This window comes from Homo sapiens, chromosome 9, assembly GCF_000001405.40.
Source record: "Homo sapiens chromosome 9, GRCh38.p14 Primary Assembly".
NCBI classification, from domain to species: Eukaryota; Metazoa; Chordata; class Mammalia; order Primates; family Hominidae; genus Homo; species Homo sapiens.
In genome coordinates, this window is record NC_000009.12 from 27,076,880 (window position 1) to 27,092,284 (window position 15,405).

The window sequence follows — 15,405 nt, forward strand, 5'->3', positions numbered from 1 at the left end:
ATTCCTTGCAAATGTCTTGGGCCATCCCCTTGGTGATAAGTGAGCTCTCCCTGTGAGATCTCACAAGACCTGGTCATTTAAAAGTATCTGGCACCTCCCTTCCCTACCCCCTTGCTTGCTCCAGCTTTTGCCTTATGAAGCACCTGCCCCACCTTTGCCTTCCACCATGATTGTAAGTTTCCTGAGGCTTTCCCGGATGCTGAGCAGCACCCTGCTTCCAGTAAAGCCAGCAGAACTGTGAGCCAATTATACCTTTTTTCTTTATAAATTACCCCATCTCAGATTTTTTTTCTTTTTTTTTGAGACAGAGTATTGCTTTGTCACCCCGGCTGCAGTGCAGTGGCGTGATCTTGGCTCACTGCAACTGCCTCCTGGGTTCAAGCAATTCTCTTGCCTCAGCCTCCCGAGTAGCGGGGATTACAGGCACATGCCAGCATGACCTACTAATTTTTGTATTCTTAGCAGGGACGGGGTTTCACCATGTTGGCCAGGCTGTTCTCGAACTCTTGACCTTGTGATCTGCCCACCTTGGCCTCCCAAGGTGCTGAGAATACAGGCGCGAGCCACCGCCCCTGGCCAGGTATTTCTTTATAGCAATGCAAGAATGGCCTAATACAGTTTCTTTATTTTTCTACAAGCTCTTGTTACATGGTTCACTTATTTCAAGTTTTCTGATGGCTTTCAGACCAAAATAGATTATTCTGAAAGACACAGTGAGAGCAGCAACTAACTAGGCTGTAGGCAGTTTTGTTAAATAGAGGATATCTGTCTTGTAAGGAAAAAGAAAAAAACAATTTTCTTATGTGAAATTAGAGCCTAAAATAGGACTTATCATTGCACTTCGTTTGATTACTCTTCAGTTATGGACATATTTTATTTATTTATTTATTTATGTGTTTTGAGACAGAGTCTCGCTCTGTCGCCCAGGCTGGAATGCAGTGGCACGATCTCGGCTCAGTGCAAGCTCCACCTCTCGGGTTCACGCCATTCTCCTGCCTCAGCCTCCCAAGTGGCTGAGACTACAGGCGCCCGCCACCACGCCTGGCTAATTTTTTGTATTTTTAGTAGAGACGGGTTTCACTGTGTTAGCCAGGATGGTCTCAATCTCCTGACCTCATGATCCGCCCGCCTCGGCCTCCAAAAGTGCTGGGATTACAGGTGTGAGCCACTGCGCCTGGCTGGACATATTTTATTAAATAGTAATCTCAATTGGTTTATGAGGAAAATATTATATGTCTGTATATATATAACAAATATATTTTATCGACTAGTAATATTAATTGGTTTATGAGGAAAATATTATATGTCTGTGTATATATATATATATATATATATATATATATCAAATATTTTAGAAACTTTCTTCTGAATGGGGCCTCTGAAAGAATCTGTCCAAATATTTTGTAAATTCAAAAACTGAAAATATCAGAAGGTTTGTAAATTGTGTTTACATTTAATAACTCCAGTATTCAAAAATATTTGTAGCCTGTATTATATGGTATAAATATTTCATATGATGTCATTATTAAAATGTTTTAAATTTATCCGTGTACCTACGTAACTAGTAAACTTTCATTACTGAAGTTGAAAAGCTTCAAATCATAGAGCTGTTCTAAGAAAATCTCTAAACTGAAACATACTTTGAGAAGAGTCAGTACAGAAAATTTCCAACATTTTTCCAGTCTCTCCTTTACTGATCCCACCTCTCCTGTTAAAAAGCAATACATCAAAAAGTCTGTTTGAGTATACCTTTTTATTTAAGATAATATTTACATTGGGAACTAATAAAAGTTTAGATTAAATTACATACAGTTCTCAATACATATTTATTTTAATGACATGACTGATGCTCAAGCAACTTATTAATAGTATGTAAAATGAACTGGATCACACAAATGTACATTAGAGTTTGTTACTTTGTAGGCCCTTTGTGAGGCTCTTCCTGCTCCCTTCCCAGCTACACTCTGGGCTCCCCAGGCCTTCCTCTCAACCTCACAGATCTCTGGCACTAATATCAGCAGAGGAAGGAGTGGAGATGAGGCTAACTAGACTAAAACAATGGGGAAGGGAAGAAGACAGAGCAAGCAAAGTACCTTGTGACCTTAAAATAATGAGCCATGTTTTCCTGCGTGTCTAGTGAACTGTCTCTAAAGACAATTCAAAAAAAGAAACTATAAAAATGTTGAGAATAAAAGCAACATCCTTGTGATTAAAAGCCTGCCCTACCAAGTTTGCTGCTTTGAAGCACAACACACATTTGAATGTAACTGAAAAGAAAATTTCAGCATGTTTAGAAGGTAAGAAATGCCAGGTGAGGTGCAAACCTGCCTTACAACTTGACAATTATTGTTTATAACTTATATTTCAATCTTTTAAAATAGTTGATAAAAGACATAATGTTCTCCCTTCCTCCCATTTATTATCAAGATAATGAGGAACTTCTCAGCTGAGATAGGAATAAATTTTTTTGATTCAGGGTGAAACTCTGCTGAGTGCCTGTAAATTTTCAGAATTTTTCAGTATTTTTGCCGTTGAAGCAACAGTAGTGGATGAGCAAAGAGTGAAAATTTCAATGCAAGTGAAATTTCTAAATGGTGGTGGTAAACCAGAATAGCCATGGAAGACAACATCTTTGCAGGTTCTAGGGATTTGGATGTGAACAGTTCCCCCTTCAAAAAATGTTCACATCCAAATCCCTAGAACCTGCAAATATGTTACCTTCCATGGCAAGACGGACTACAAATGTGATCAACTTAAGGGTCTTGAGATGGAGAGATTATTCTGGATTATCCAGATTGGCAAAATATAATTACAAATATCCTTATAAGAGGGAGACAAGGGGGCCAGAGTCAGAGAGAAGCTATACCAACAGAAGCAGAGGTTGGAGTGATGCTCTTTGAAGATGGAGAAAGGGGGTGTGAGTCAAGAATTGCAGCAGTCTCTAAAAGCTGAAAAAGGCCAGGAAACAGATTTTCCCCTAGAGCCTCTAGATGGATTTTACCCTAAGACACATTTCAGCCTTCTGACTTCCAGAACTGTAAAATAATAAATTTGTGCTGCTTTAAGTCATGGAATGTGTGGTATTTTATCACAGCAGCAATACAAAACTAATACAGCAAGCATTGCAGAGCATGAACACAACATATGCCTCAACCCTCTGCAGTTATTTTTTTTTCACCAGCTATAGTTTTCATCCTTATACTTATCATAATCCCATTGCCAATAACAGGAAGCACTAACGATGTAAAGTTCATCATATGGGTAAAACAAAATATGTTTGTACTATAAAGACAACCTATCAGCAAGTAAAACTTTCCATTTATCAAATTCATTTAACTAAAACTTATTGAATAAAGAAGTGACCACGGCCGGGTGCTGTGGCTCACGCCTGAAATCCCAGCACTTTGGGAGGCCGAGGTGGTGGATCAACTGAGGTCAGGAGTTCAAGACCAGCCTGGCCAACATGGTGAAACCCCGTTTCTACTAAAAATACAAAAATGTGTAAAGCATGATGGCGGATGCCTGTAATTCCAGCTACTTGGAAGGCGGAGGCAGGAGAATCACTTGAATCTGGGAGGTGGAGATTTCAGTGAGCCAAGATCGTGCCATTGCACTCTAGCCTGGGCGACTTAGCAAAACTCCGTCTCAAAAAAAAAAAAAAAAAAAAAAAGACGTGACCAACACCAATAAAAATTCCCACCCAGTTGGAATTTACATTCTAATGGGAGACATGGGCAATAAATATATTACGCAATTTTATGTAAAGATACACTTTCTGTGGAAAGCGCAAATACTAGCTGATTCTGGAAAAGTAAATCAAGTGTCCCTTCATAAACCCAACTTCCAGGTTCATGAACCCTTTACTAACTGTAAAATGTTTTTTCCTCAGGTATTCAAGTGAAACCTCCAGGGATTCCTCAAGGCCTGCCATTTCATTTCACATCAATTTTCTCAAATTTTATGGGATAATCACTGTGAAAAAAACATTTTAAATGGTCCATTTTCAAGGCATGATAAATCTAACTACTGGCAGCCAGCCTAAGGATGTAAAAAACCACACAGCTTGTGCACCTGGAAAGTCACGATAAGCGAACAGACTGTAAAGGAGAGGTCAGCCCATAAAAGGGAAGAAAGTTTCATTATTGGGAAATCAAACTTAAGCTGGGAAGGCGATGGGAGGGTATAACCTTATAAGGGGGGTAATAAAACTTAGGCTTTGTCTGGAAAGATTGTAACCCGATAGTACTCGACCAGTGAGGAACTGGGGCAGGGACTTGCATGCTAGGAGATAAATTACATGCTGATTTATCATTAGGAGATAAATTAGGAGATTGGGTGTGCCTGCCTACCAGACACCCAATCTTGCAAGACCACCATGCAAAGTCTTGCTTCCACTGTTCTTTGTGTCTCCAAGTCCATTCTTTGAGTTTGGATGGGTGAATGTGTTTCTCACAATCACTTTCTAAAGAAGGCATAAATGAATATTACTGCCATTCTCCAGCCTCTGTCCCTATTATCCACCTCTAGCCTACATGTCATGTTCTGGCCAAACAGAAAAGAAGGTTGAACTCCAGGGAATAAAAAAGCATGGTTAACTAGAAATACGACCAGTAATACCCAAGCCCTGTTAGTATGTTCCCTTTGCATTATTTGTGGATAAAGCACTTTTCAACAAGATGTGGAAGTATAATATTCTTACATTTATGCCTGAAGTTATTAACCAGTAATTGTTCCAAGTGACTTTTTTTGAATGACATTTAATGGGACTATACAGATAATTTCATACTATCCATGTTTTTACCCAACTGAGGAACTATTTACAAGATCAGACTGCAAACAGAAAATAAATCTGTGTACAAAAAAATGATTTAGAATTCAGAGATATCCTTCATTCCTTTCTCTCCTTACCCCTTACATTCCGTTCATCAGTATCTTCTAAAATTTTACCTACAGAAAATCACTTGATCAGTCAATTTTTTTCCATTTCATTATTATAATGCTAATCCAAGCCACCATCATGTTATACTTGGACCTGAATTGATCTCTCGCCTCTCTGCAATCCATTCTTCAAGAGCAGTCACAGTAATACTTTTGATTTTATTAAAGAATATTGAAAGTTCAGTAAATATAAATAATTTTACAACAAACATCAGTGTTTTCACTACCTAGAGTTTACAAATTGTTAATAATTTGTGTTTACATATGAGTGGTATTACAAATATGGTAACAGAAATGGACATTACAAATACGGTGATGTCCTTTTTGTTCTCTTCCTCATTCCCATAGTCTAGAATTAGTCACCACCTTAAATTTGGTGTTTATCCTTCCAGGCTGTTTTTATACTTTTATTCTATATATGTGTTTACAAGCAAAATATGGAATGGTTTTATATCCTTAAAAATTACATAAATGGTATCATTCTCTACTTTCTTTATTCCATTGAACATTACTTAATTGAAGGCTATCCCTGTTGATTCTTATAGATCCTGTTTTTCCATTTTAATTGCTGTGTATTGTATTCCACTGTGTGAATACATCATTATTATTTCAATTGTCTTACAGATTGATGTTTAGTTGCTTTACGTTTTTCTCTACTACAATGCCCCAGTGAGCTCACTGGTGACTTTTTGTGCACATGTATACAGCTTTCATTACCTAGATATAGAATTGCAAGATAAGGAATGCACATTTTCAATTAGATCTTCCCAAAGAGGTTGTGCTGACTTACACTCTCACCAGTTATGAATCCTGGATTCAGTATTTTCAAACTTTAAATTTTTTTCTAATTGTTGCTTTAATGGGATTTCTGTGATGACTAATGAGATCATATGACAATTGGACATTCTTTTATGAATTATCTTCTTCATATCTATTGCCCATTTTCTATTGTATTGTTTGTCTTTTAGAAGTTTTATGTTGCAAATATCTTCTCTTAGTCTAAGCCTTATCTTTTCACTTTATAGAAATTTAAAGGGATTTTTGCAATTACTTTTAATGGCAAAAACAACAATTACTTTTGCACCAACCGAAAATAAGATATTATTTGTTATTTGAAATTTTTAATCAAAGGGACATTTAAAAACAAATTAGATAATAGTACTAAGTTTTTGTTAAAATTAAACAGTAACCAGCCGGGCGCGGTGGCTCACGCCTGTAATCCCGGCACTTTGGGAGGCTGAGGTGGGTGGACCACAAGGTCAGGAGATCGAGACCATCCTGGCTAATACGGTGAAACGCCGTCTCTACTAAAAATCCAAAAAATTAGCCAGGCGAGGTGGCGAGCGCCTGTAGTCCCAGCTACTCGGGAGGCTGAAGCAGGAGAATGGCGTGAACCCGGGAGGCAGAGCTTGCAGTGAGCCTAGATCGTGCCACTGCACTCCAGTCTGGGTGACAGAGTGAGACTCCTCCATCTCAAAAAAAAAAAAAAAAATTAAACAATAACCTTACTATAAATCGTGTATAGTTTGTAGTATATCGTGGAATATAATGGAGGATGAACCTATCATTCCCAACAGTCCCTAGAATAATGCTTTGCATGTAGCGGGTATTCAACAAATATTTGTTGGATAAATGAATGATTATTTTTGTTACTGTGATAAAATTCTAACTTAAGAAACTTATACCCTGTATTGGATAGTCAAGATTCTGATTCTGAGAGTGATCAAAGCAGAGAAGTAGCACATATCATAGAGTTTTTCTTAATGGGGTTTCCTTCTTTCTAAATATACTGCACATCCTATGAGTCCCACAGTCAGGCTTACCTCAGCTAAGAGGATTGAGATATCACACAACAACCTTTGCAGGAGAAGAAAAGGTTACAAAACAGAGCAAATCTGGGTTTCAGAACAAAGGGAGTGCATGTAGAATAGTGGCTAATAGCATGGATTGTGGAGTCAGCCCAACTGGGCTTTAACCCTGGGTCTTCTACTTGTTAGCCGGATAAACTTAGATCACCTACCTTGTCTAATTCTCAATTTCAACAAATACAAAATAAGAAAAATTATGTCTCTCTCATAGCAAACCATTGGGATTAAATGACCTAATGTATTAAAGCCTCTTCACAGTACCCAACACCAAAGTGTTCAAAAATGGTAGCAGTTAGTATTATTAAATGGAAGTTATTATACATTCTCAGATATTATATAATGGCAATGCAGCAATTTAAAATTTTAATGGCATTTACACATTGCATTATGGCTATAATGTATTAAGGAGTGCCTTTTCGCTATAAGAACAAATAGTCTCAGATGATGTACTTTCTATTTTGATTTCCAGTTTCCATTGATAATTATTATAGACTTGGACAAATTTCAGGTATTGTTGCCTAAGCCTTTTGTTTTTAAAAATGTTCCTATCTTTAAGGCTTTCTATATAATTGTAGATAATACATAAATGTGATTATATACCTGCTTTCATAATGAATTTTTAAAAATCTCATCTCCTTTCTCCCCACTTCAACCTCCTTACATCCCATTTCCATTGTAATTCATGTTAATAGCCTAGTATGTATCCTTACATTTTTACTCTTGATTTATGTAATTCCATGCAGAACTATTCATACATATACTTACATATATTGCAAATGCAGGGTTTTAAAAATCATTAATTTTAAAAATGGGGCCATATTATAAAGCAGGTTACTTTTCTCACCCAACATTACCTGGGAGAAATACATCCAAATCATTTGGGTATAAAGTTGAATTCATGTATATATATATATGTTTGTTTGTTTGTTTGTTTGTTTGTTTTTTGAGATGGAGTCTCGGTGTGTTGCCCAGGCTGGAGTGCAGTGGCACGATCTCAGCTCACTGCAAGCTCCATCTCCTGGGTTCATGCCATTCTCCTGCCTCAGCCTCCTGAGTAGCTGGGACTACAGGCGCCCACCACCATGCCTGGCTAATTTTTTTGTATTTTTAGTAGAGACGGGGTTTCACCGTGTTAGCCAGGATGGTCTCGATCTCCTGACCTCGTGATCCACCCATCTCGGCCTCCCAAAGTGCTGGGATTACAGGCGTGAGCCACCGTGCCCGGCCTTGAATTCATATTTTTGATGGCAGCACAATATTGCATGATTAGAGGTAGCATTATCTATTGAGCAATCCTTCATCTGTTGATTTTGTTTCCATTTTTTGGCAATGCAGACGCTGCTACAATAAATATCCTTGTATGTCTTTACTGATCTGTTTATTTCTTTGGGATAGATTCACAGGAGTAGGATTGCTAGACTGGAGGACATGTGCATTTTACATTTTAATAGATATTGATGAATCTTTTCCATTAACAGCAGGGAATATAACAGCAAGTGACATTTTAGGTCACTTTTATAGAAAATGTCACTTGTGTACAACAGTTATGTAGCAATAAATGTAACATCTTTTAAAAAAGAGAAAACAATTTCTGGTAAGGAAGTTCTAAACAAAGAAGCATTCCATCGGGATATGCCCTCCTTTAAAATTACTGTTATTAGAAAGTGGAATTCGGTAGGGGATTGGAGCAGGGGCAGGAAGCTCGAAGAAGAAAGAATACGGAAATACAAATCTTTCCAAGTTCACTTTCATCAATAGTGACTTTCTATAATAGTGCTGTCCTAAAACAGGATGTCTGATCATCTTAGGAATACACAGTTGTTTTGCTGCGACACACTTTTCCTTCCAAGCTCATTAGCTGCTTTTTCTTTTTGGCAAAATGTTTTGTGGTGTGCAGCATGCTGATAAATACTACTCAAACATTTTTCACTACTTTTCTGTGGTAGGGAGTGGAGGAAGGGGAGAGAGTTCCAAGAACAAGGGCTTTTTGTGATATACCGATGATGCTATCAAGTCCTTAAACAAGTGCGTAAGAAGTCTTAGCAGAGTTAATTGCTCAATTCACTGCTATTGAACAGTACATCTTTATAGGGAGCAGGATAAAATACCATGATTTACAAGTTGGAATGAAAAAAACACTTCATGAAACATATTTATCGGGCCGTTCCTGTTAATAAGAACACTAATAGAGGCTAGTTAGCTTTTTTAAATTTCTTCATTAGTAATTTCCATTAAGAAATGTTAGTCCTGTACATAGTAGATATAAAATAAGTAAAAATATTAACATACTTAATCTGCACATTTACTTTAAAAATGTGATACAGAAGTAAAAATTGGGCCGGGCGCAGTGGCTCACGCCTGTCATCCCAACACTTTGGGAGGCCAAGGCAGGCAGATCACGGGGTCAGGAGTTCGAGACAAGCCTGACCAACATGGTGAAACCCCGTCTCTACTAAAAATGCAAAAATTAGCCAGGCATGGTGGCGGGCACCTGTAATCCCAGCTACTCAGGAGGCTGAGGCAGGAGAATCGCTTGAACCCAGGAGGCAGAGGTTGCAGTGAGCCGAGATCATGCCATTGCACTCCAGCTTGGGTGACAGCGGGAGACTCCGTCTCAAACAAACAAACAAAACAACAACAACAACAACCAAAAAAAAGGCAAAAAAAAAAATTGGCTAAAAGGAAACTGTTCAAAATGCAAAAGACTTAAAACTGTGAAACCTCTAGCCTGCAGATCAACAGGAAAAAATCTGATTAGTCCATGGCCAAATGAACCAATTTAAAAGACACCATGAAAATGAAATTTGAAACAAAGTACCTATGAAATTTCAAATTATTTAAAGAACAAAACTATCCCATATGTTTCATTAAACATGAAAATACATTTTTAAACATAAATCTAAGTGTTATTAGCTTTCTTTCTCAACACATCGAGAAACTTAGGCAATGAGAATATTATCTGAGTTTCTTATCAGTTGTATTTTCTTATTTCTTGAATCACAACTATCCTTAAGATGAGAGCATCCTGGAAAATATTTATTTTTCTAAGACATTTGTCATCTTTTTAAAGGACTGCAGAAACTCAATTTTATTTTTTTAAAAAAACACTAACTCAAATTAAGTGGGCAATGTGTTCATGAAAAGGAAGAGAGATTCTGCCCCAATTCCTGGGGAAAGTCAGGGGCAGGACACAGAATATTCTTTTACAGTAACATTGGGATTGTCTTTTCTCATCAGCTCTAGGTTTAGACAAGCAGTGGGCCTGGTCTTTATGAGGTTTCCACTGAAATGAAGACAAGTGGGTGAAGGTAGAGACCAGGCATATCTTCCAGCGTGGGAGTGACTAAGAAGTGCCATATGTCTTCTTTTCAGCCTAAACCTTCAAAGAAGCAAATGATTACAGGGTAATTTAAACTATCAAGCTAAGAAAATGCACACACACATAATACCTAACTGTCAAAGGGCCGATTCACAACTTGGTCACTTAACTGAAGGAGAAAAGGAATGTTTGGAATTAGAATAAACAGACGCATATACAAACAGTTTATTATTTCTGCCAGAACTCTAAGTGGTTTCCCCATAATTTGGAGAATCTTCTGAGAAGGGTGCTCTGGAAATCCAAAGCTTATCTAGCAGAAACTCAAATTCAACACAAACCAAATAGATTCATCTTCCTCCGTAACCTACTCCTCTGCTTTTGACTTCTGTTTCTGCGTGACAGAGCCTGGTATCTGCGTTCTATTTATATTATATATTGTTATTCTGTGTTCCCAGAGAAACTGGAATGCAAAAACCTGACTGCATTTGCTCTTTAATAAAAACTATGGGCCGGGTGCAGTGACTCATGTCTGTAATCCCAGCACTTTGGGAGGCAGAGGAGGGCGGATCGCTTGAGCCCAGGAGTTTGAGACCAGTCTGGGTAATGTGGTGAAACCTTGTCTCTACAAAAATTACAAAAATCAGCCAGAGCGTGGTGGCGTGCACCTCTAGTCCCAGCTCCTCAGGAGGCTGAGGTAGGAAGATTGCTTGAGCCCAGGAGGTGGAGTTTGCAGCGAGCCGAGATCGTGCCACTGCACTCCAGCCTGGGCAACAGAGCTAGACCCTGTCTCAAAACCAAAACAACAACCACAACAACAACAACAAACCTATGTAATATAAGTTCTCCAGACTTCATTCCTCATTTGTAAATGAGGAATCAAACCTTGTAGGTAGAAAGAATAAAGAACATGGAAACCAGAAATATCTGTTCACACCCAAGTCTGCCATTTACCATGTGTATTGCCCTGGGAAATGTTAAGGGTCTCCTAGTTCTTACATTCTTTGACTTAATTATTTATCTGATGATGTTTCCATATTTGTTATTATATTGAAGAAAGTTAAATATTAACAAGACCCATAACATTAGTAGACATTGATTGCAGAGCCTCTACATATTGTGGGGAAACAAAGTTAGAGTTGAAAGGCTCCTAGGAAAGTGTTTTAATCCACTTCACTCTACACAGCCATGTTCTTGCCCACTCATGACTTTGCCTGTAGCTGCCTCCACCTCAACTTTCTCCCTCCCATCCATTTATTTATAGTCTATCCATACTTCAAAGCCCAACTCAAATATTTTCCCCTCACTGAAACCTCTTATGAAAATTTCAGTGAACATTGAACAATAACTGAACTTTCTAAATAAGTAATATTTAAATTCATTATGTATTTCCATGCTCAGCGATGTATAAAATATTTTTTTTTTTGAGATGGAGTCTCGCTCTGTCGCCCAGGCTGGAGTGCGGTGGTGCAATCTCAGCTCGCTGCAAGCTCTGCCTCCTGGGTTCATGCCATTCTCCTGCCTCAGCCTCCCGAGTAGCTGGGACTACAGGTGCCCACCATTACACCCAGCTAATTTTTTGTATTTTTAGTAGAGATGGGGGTTTCACCATGTTAGCCAGGATAGTCTCGATCTCCTGACCTCGTGATCTGTCCACCTTGGCCTCCCAAAGTGCTGGGATTACAGGCGTGAGCCACTGTGCCCGGCCTTATGATATACTTTTTGTTTCATATGCATGACTTGTGTTTAAATTACTCATTGTTTTATTCATTTCCAGTAAACACTCACTGAAAATCTACCACATATTCTGTGATCTTGGACATTATTTATGTAATTTTTTTTGGTAAAATGGGAATAGAAATTGCTATCTTTCAAAGGTGAAGAAGATTGAATGAGATAACATATGTGCAAGTGCCTGGCCTGTGTTGTGGCATAAATGTCTTTCTTTCTCTTTTATAAACAGGTGATTTCTGAAAATCATAAAAAAGAAATGGACTGCTTAACTTGTTCTCAAGATTAGGGATACTCTATCTAGAAAGCAAGTTTTTCTTGTGCTGTTTTGTAACTAGCACTGTCATTTTTTGAGTATTACAGTATCTACTTGGAGATGTTACATGAAAAAGTTTGCTAACTTCACTAATATTAATAGAATTTCGTGGTTAAATGTTTGGAATGCTGGGATTTAAAACAAGTAAGGCATTTCCTTTTTTCTCCCCACCCCGTTCAGTGAGGTTGTTTCACGCACTTGTAATGCAGTTAGATTGTTTTGTCACATTCTGTATTCCATCCTGAGATCCTCTAGCTTTTAAATAATTTTTAAATTTTGCATTAAGATTTACTTTTTTTTAAATTGACAAATGCATAGTGTCTTAATGTCGTGTATCTATCATTACAGTATCATATAGAATAGTATCACTGCCCTAAAAATCTGCTGTGGTCTGCTTATTTAGCACTCTCCTCAGACCCCTGGCAACCGCTGGTCTTTTTTACTGTTGCTATCGTTTTGCCTTTTCCAGAATGTCATATAATTGGAGGATACAGGATGTGACCTTTTCAGTCTGACTTTTTGCATTTAGCAATATGCAGTTAAAATTAATCCCTATCTATGCATAGCTTGATAGCTCATCCTTTTTGTCACCGAATAGTATCCTATTGTGTGAATGTATTTGAGTATTTTAAGAATAGCATCCTGTTCTTATTTCATGCATGCAACATGTCATATATTTCTGATATTAATATTAGTCCCTTAAACATTTTGTCATTTCCTTCTCCTTAGTAGTGTCTTCTTCCTCCAGGTTGCTTTTCTTCTGGCTATTTTTGTGAGCCTCTGCTTTAGACGCTTCCCTAAAAAAATCTGGTTGTCTTGGCTGTCCATTTAAGAGTGGGGCACCAAAACGCTGACTGAGCATGAGTTCAGTTTGTTGACTGCGAGCACCACAGTAGCAAAACTAGAGGAATGACTTTGTTGGACACATGTTAACATCTTCAGCTTTATTCACTTGGGCTAGTCAGGTTCCCCAGAGATCCACTGATCTCTCTAGAGGATAAACTTTTGACAGCTTTCGGAGAGCCAACAGAGGGACAAAGGCCCAAGATTTAAATCAGCCCAATCTTATTGCCCATGCAGTGTGGACCAGTGAACCTCTCTTTTACTCCCTCCAAAGAAAAGACCCCCACTCTTCTTGAACAACTTGATTGAAATATCCTTCACATAGCACACAATTTACCCATTTAAAGTATAAAATTCAGCTGGGCATGGTGGTGCACACCTGAAATCCCAGCTACTTGGGAGTCTGAGGCAAGAGGATCACCTGAACCCAGGAGTTCAACCACAGCCTGGTCAGCAATACAAGACCCCATCTAAAAAAAGTGTATATAATTTAATGGTTTTTGTATATTTAGTCAGAGTTGTGCAACCATCATGTCAATTTTGGAACATTTTCATCATCCCAAGAAGAAACCACATGCCCTTTAGAAGTCATCCTTCCCAACCAGTGCCCCCATCCTTCACTGACTCCCCACCTCCACCCCACCCCAGACCTAGGCAACCACTAATCTCCTCTCTGTTTCTATGGATTTTCCTAGTCTGGACAGTTCATAGAAATGGAATCATACACTATGCAGTCTTTTCTGACTGGATTCTTTCTCTTAGCCTCTGTTTCCATGTGTGTAGTAGTATGAATCTGTCCTTCATTTTTTTATTGCCAAAAAATATTCCATTGTATGGATATACCATATTTTATATATTCATTCATCATTTGATGGCTTGAAGTTATATCTACTTTTTGTCTGCTATGAATAATGCTGCTATGAATAATGCTGCTATGAACAATCATAGACTGAATAAATTTTTGTGCGGACATATTTTCATTTCTCTTGGGTATATACCTAGGAGTAGAATTGCTCAATCATATGCTAACACTGTGCTTAATCATTTGAGGAACTATTGGTCTCCAAAGTGGCTGCACCATTTCCATTCCCACCAGCAGCATATGAGGTCTCCATTGCTCCACATCCTATATAAGATTTGTTACTATCTTTTTCATTATAGCCACCCACTCTGGTATAAATGAATTGGTATCACATTTTGCCTGTTTTTTTAAAAACACACTTTATTTTGGCCAGGCACGGTGCCTCACGCCTGTAATCCCAGCACTTTGGGAAGCCGAGGTGGGCAGATCACGAGGTAAGGAGATCGAGACCATCCTGGCTAACATGGTGAAACCCCATCTCTACTAAATATACAAAAAATTAGCCGGGCGTGGTGGCGGGCGCCTGTAGTCCCAGCTACTCACGAGGCTGAGGCAGGAGAATGGCATGAATCCGGGAGGCGGAGCTTGCAGTGAGCCGAGATTGCGCCACTGCACTCCAGCCTGGGTGACAGAGCGAGACTCCGTTTCAAAAAAAAAAAAAAAAAGAAAAAAAATACTTTATTTATTTTTATTTATTTATTCATTTTTTGAGACCAAGTCTCGTTCTGTTGCCAGGCTGGAGTGTGTTGGCACGATCTCGGCCCACTGCAACCTCCACCTCCAGGGTTCAAGCAATTCTCCTGCCTCAGCCTCCCAAATAGCTGAGACTACAGGTGCGTGCCACCACGCCCAGCTAATGTTTGTATTTTTAGTAGAGACGGAGTTTCACCATATTAGCCAGGATGGTCTTGATCTCTTAACCTCGTGATCCGCCTGCCTCGGCCTTCCAAAGTGCTGGGATTACAGGCGTGAGCCACAACACCTGGCCTTAAACATACTTTCAACTACTCCTCTTAATTTTAATTTTACCTGATCCCCAATTCCAAACGTACAAGTAGACACTAATTCATGCTCTTTTAGAGGTTCTGCAGTGCAGATTGCTTTCCCCCCACCAATTAGTTAGTACCATTTCTGTGTCTAGTTAACTCTGGTCGAACGATTTCTAGCTTCCAAAATATTGTGGTTTCTGTCTTCTGTTTTGTTTTCGTCTTGTTGGTCTTATGTCCTTAAAAATTTCATGGACTTCATTTTAATGAATTTTGAGAGAGAGACGTAGCTAGTGCATATGAGTAATTCATTCTCTCTAAACTAGAAGTTTATTTTCATTTCTATCTGCACTGTGAAGTTAAGTTTTTTTATTCGAATTTTTTTTTAAGGAGAATAAGGTTTAACAAATGTTTCCTGTTTCTGAAAGGGGTAATCAAGCCATAAGTCACACTTGAGTGAAATGTTACTTTTGGAGAGAAATGAACACAGAAGCATACTTGCATTATTTATAATGGCTTGTCTCTCTTGTGATCACTTAAAGTTA

The 15,405-nt window shown here is 38.5% G+C and overlaps 1 annotated feature.

Annotated features, from left to right (window-relative positions):
• Nucleotides 3,979-4,179: a silencer, noted in NCBI's record as "peak7214 fragment used in MPRA reporter construct". NCBI's record gives its function as "represses an SCP1 promoter by STARR-seq MPRAs in K562 erythroleukemia cells {active_cell/tissue: K562}" and the evidence as "EXISTENCE:reporter gene assay evidence [ECO:0000049][PMID:32103011]".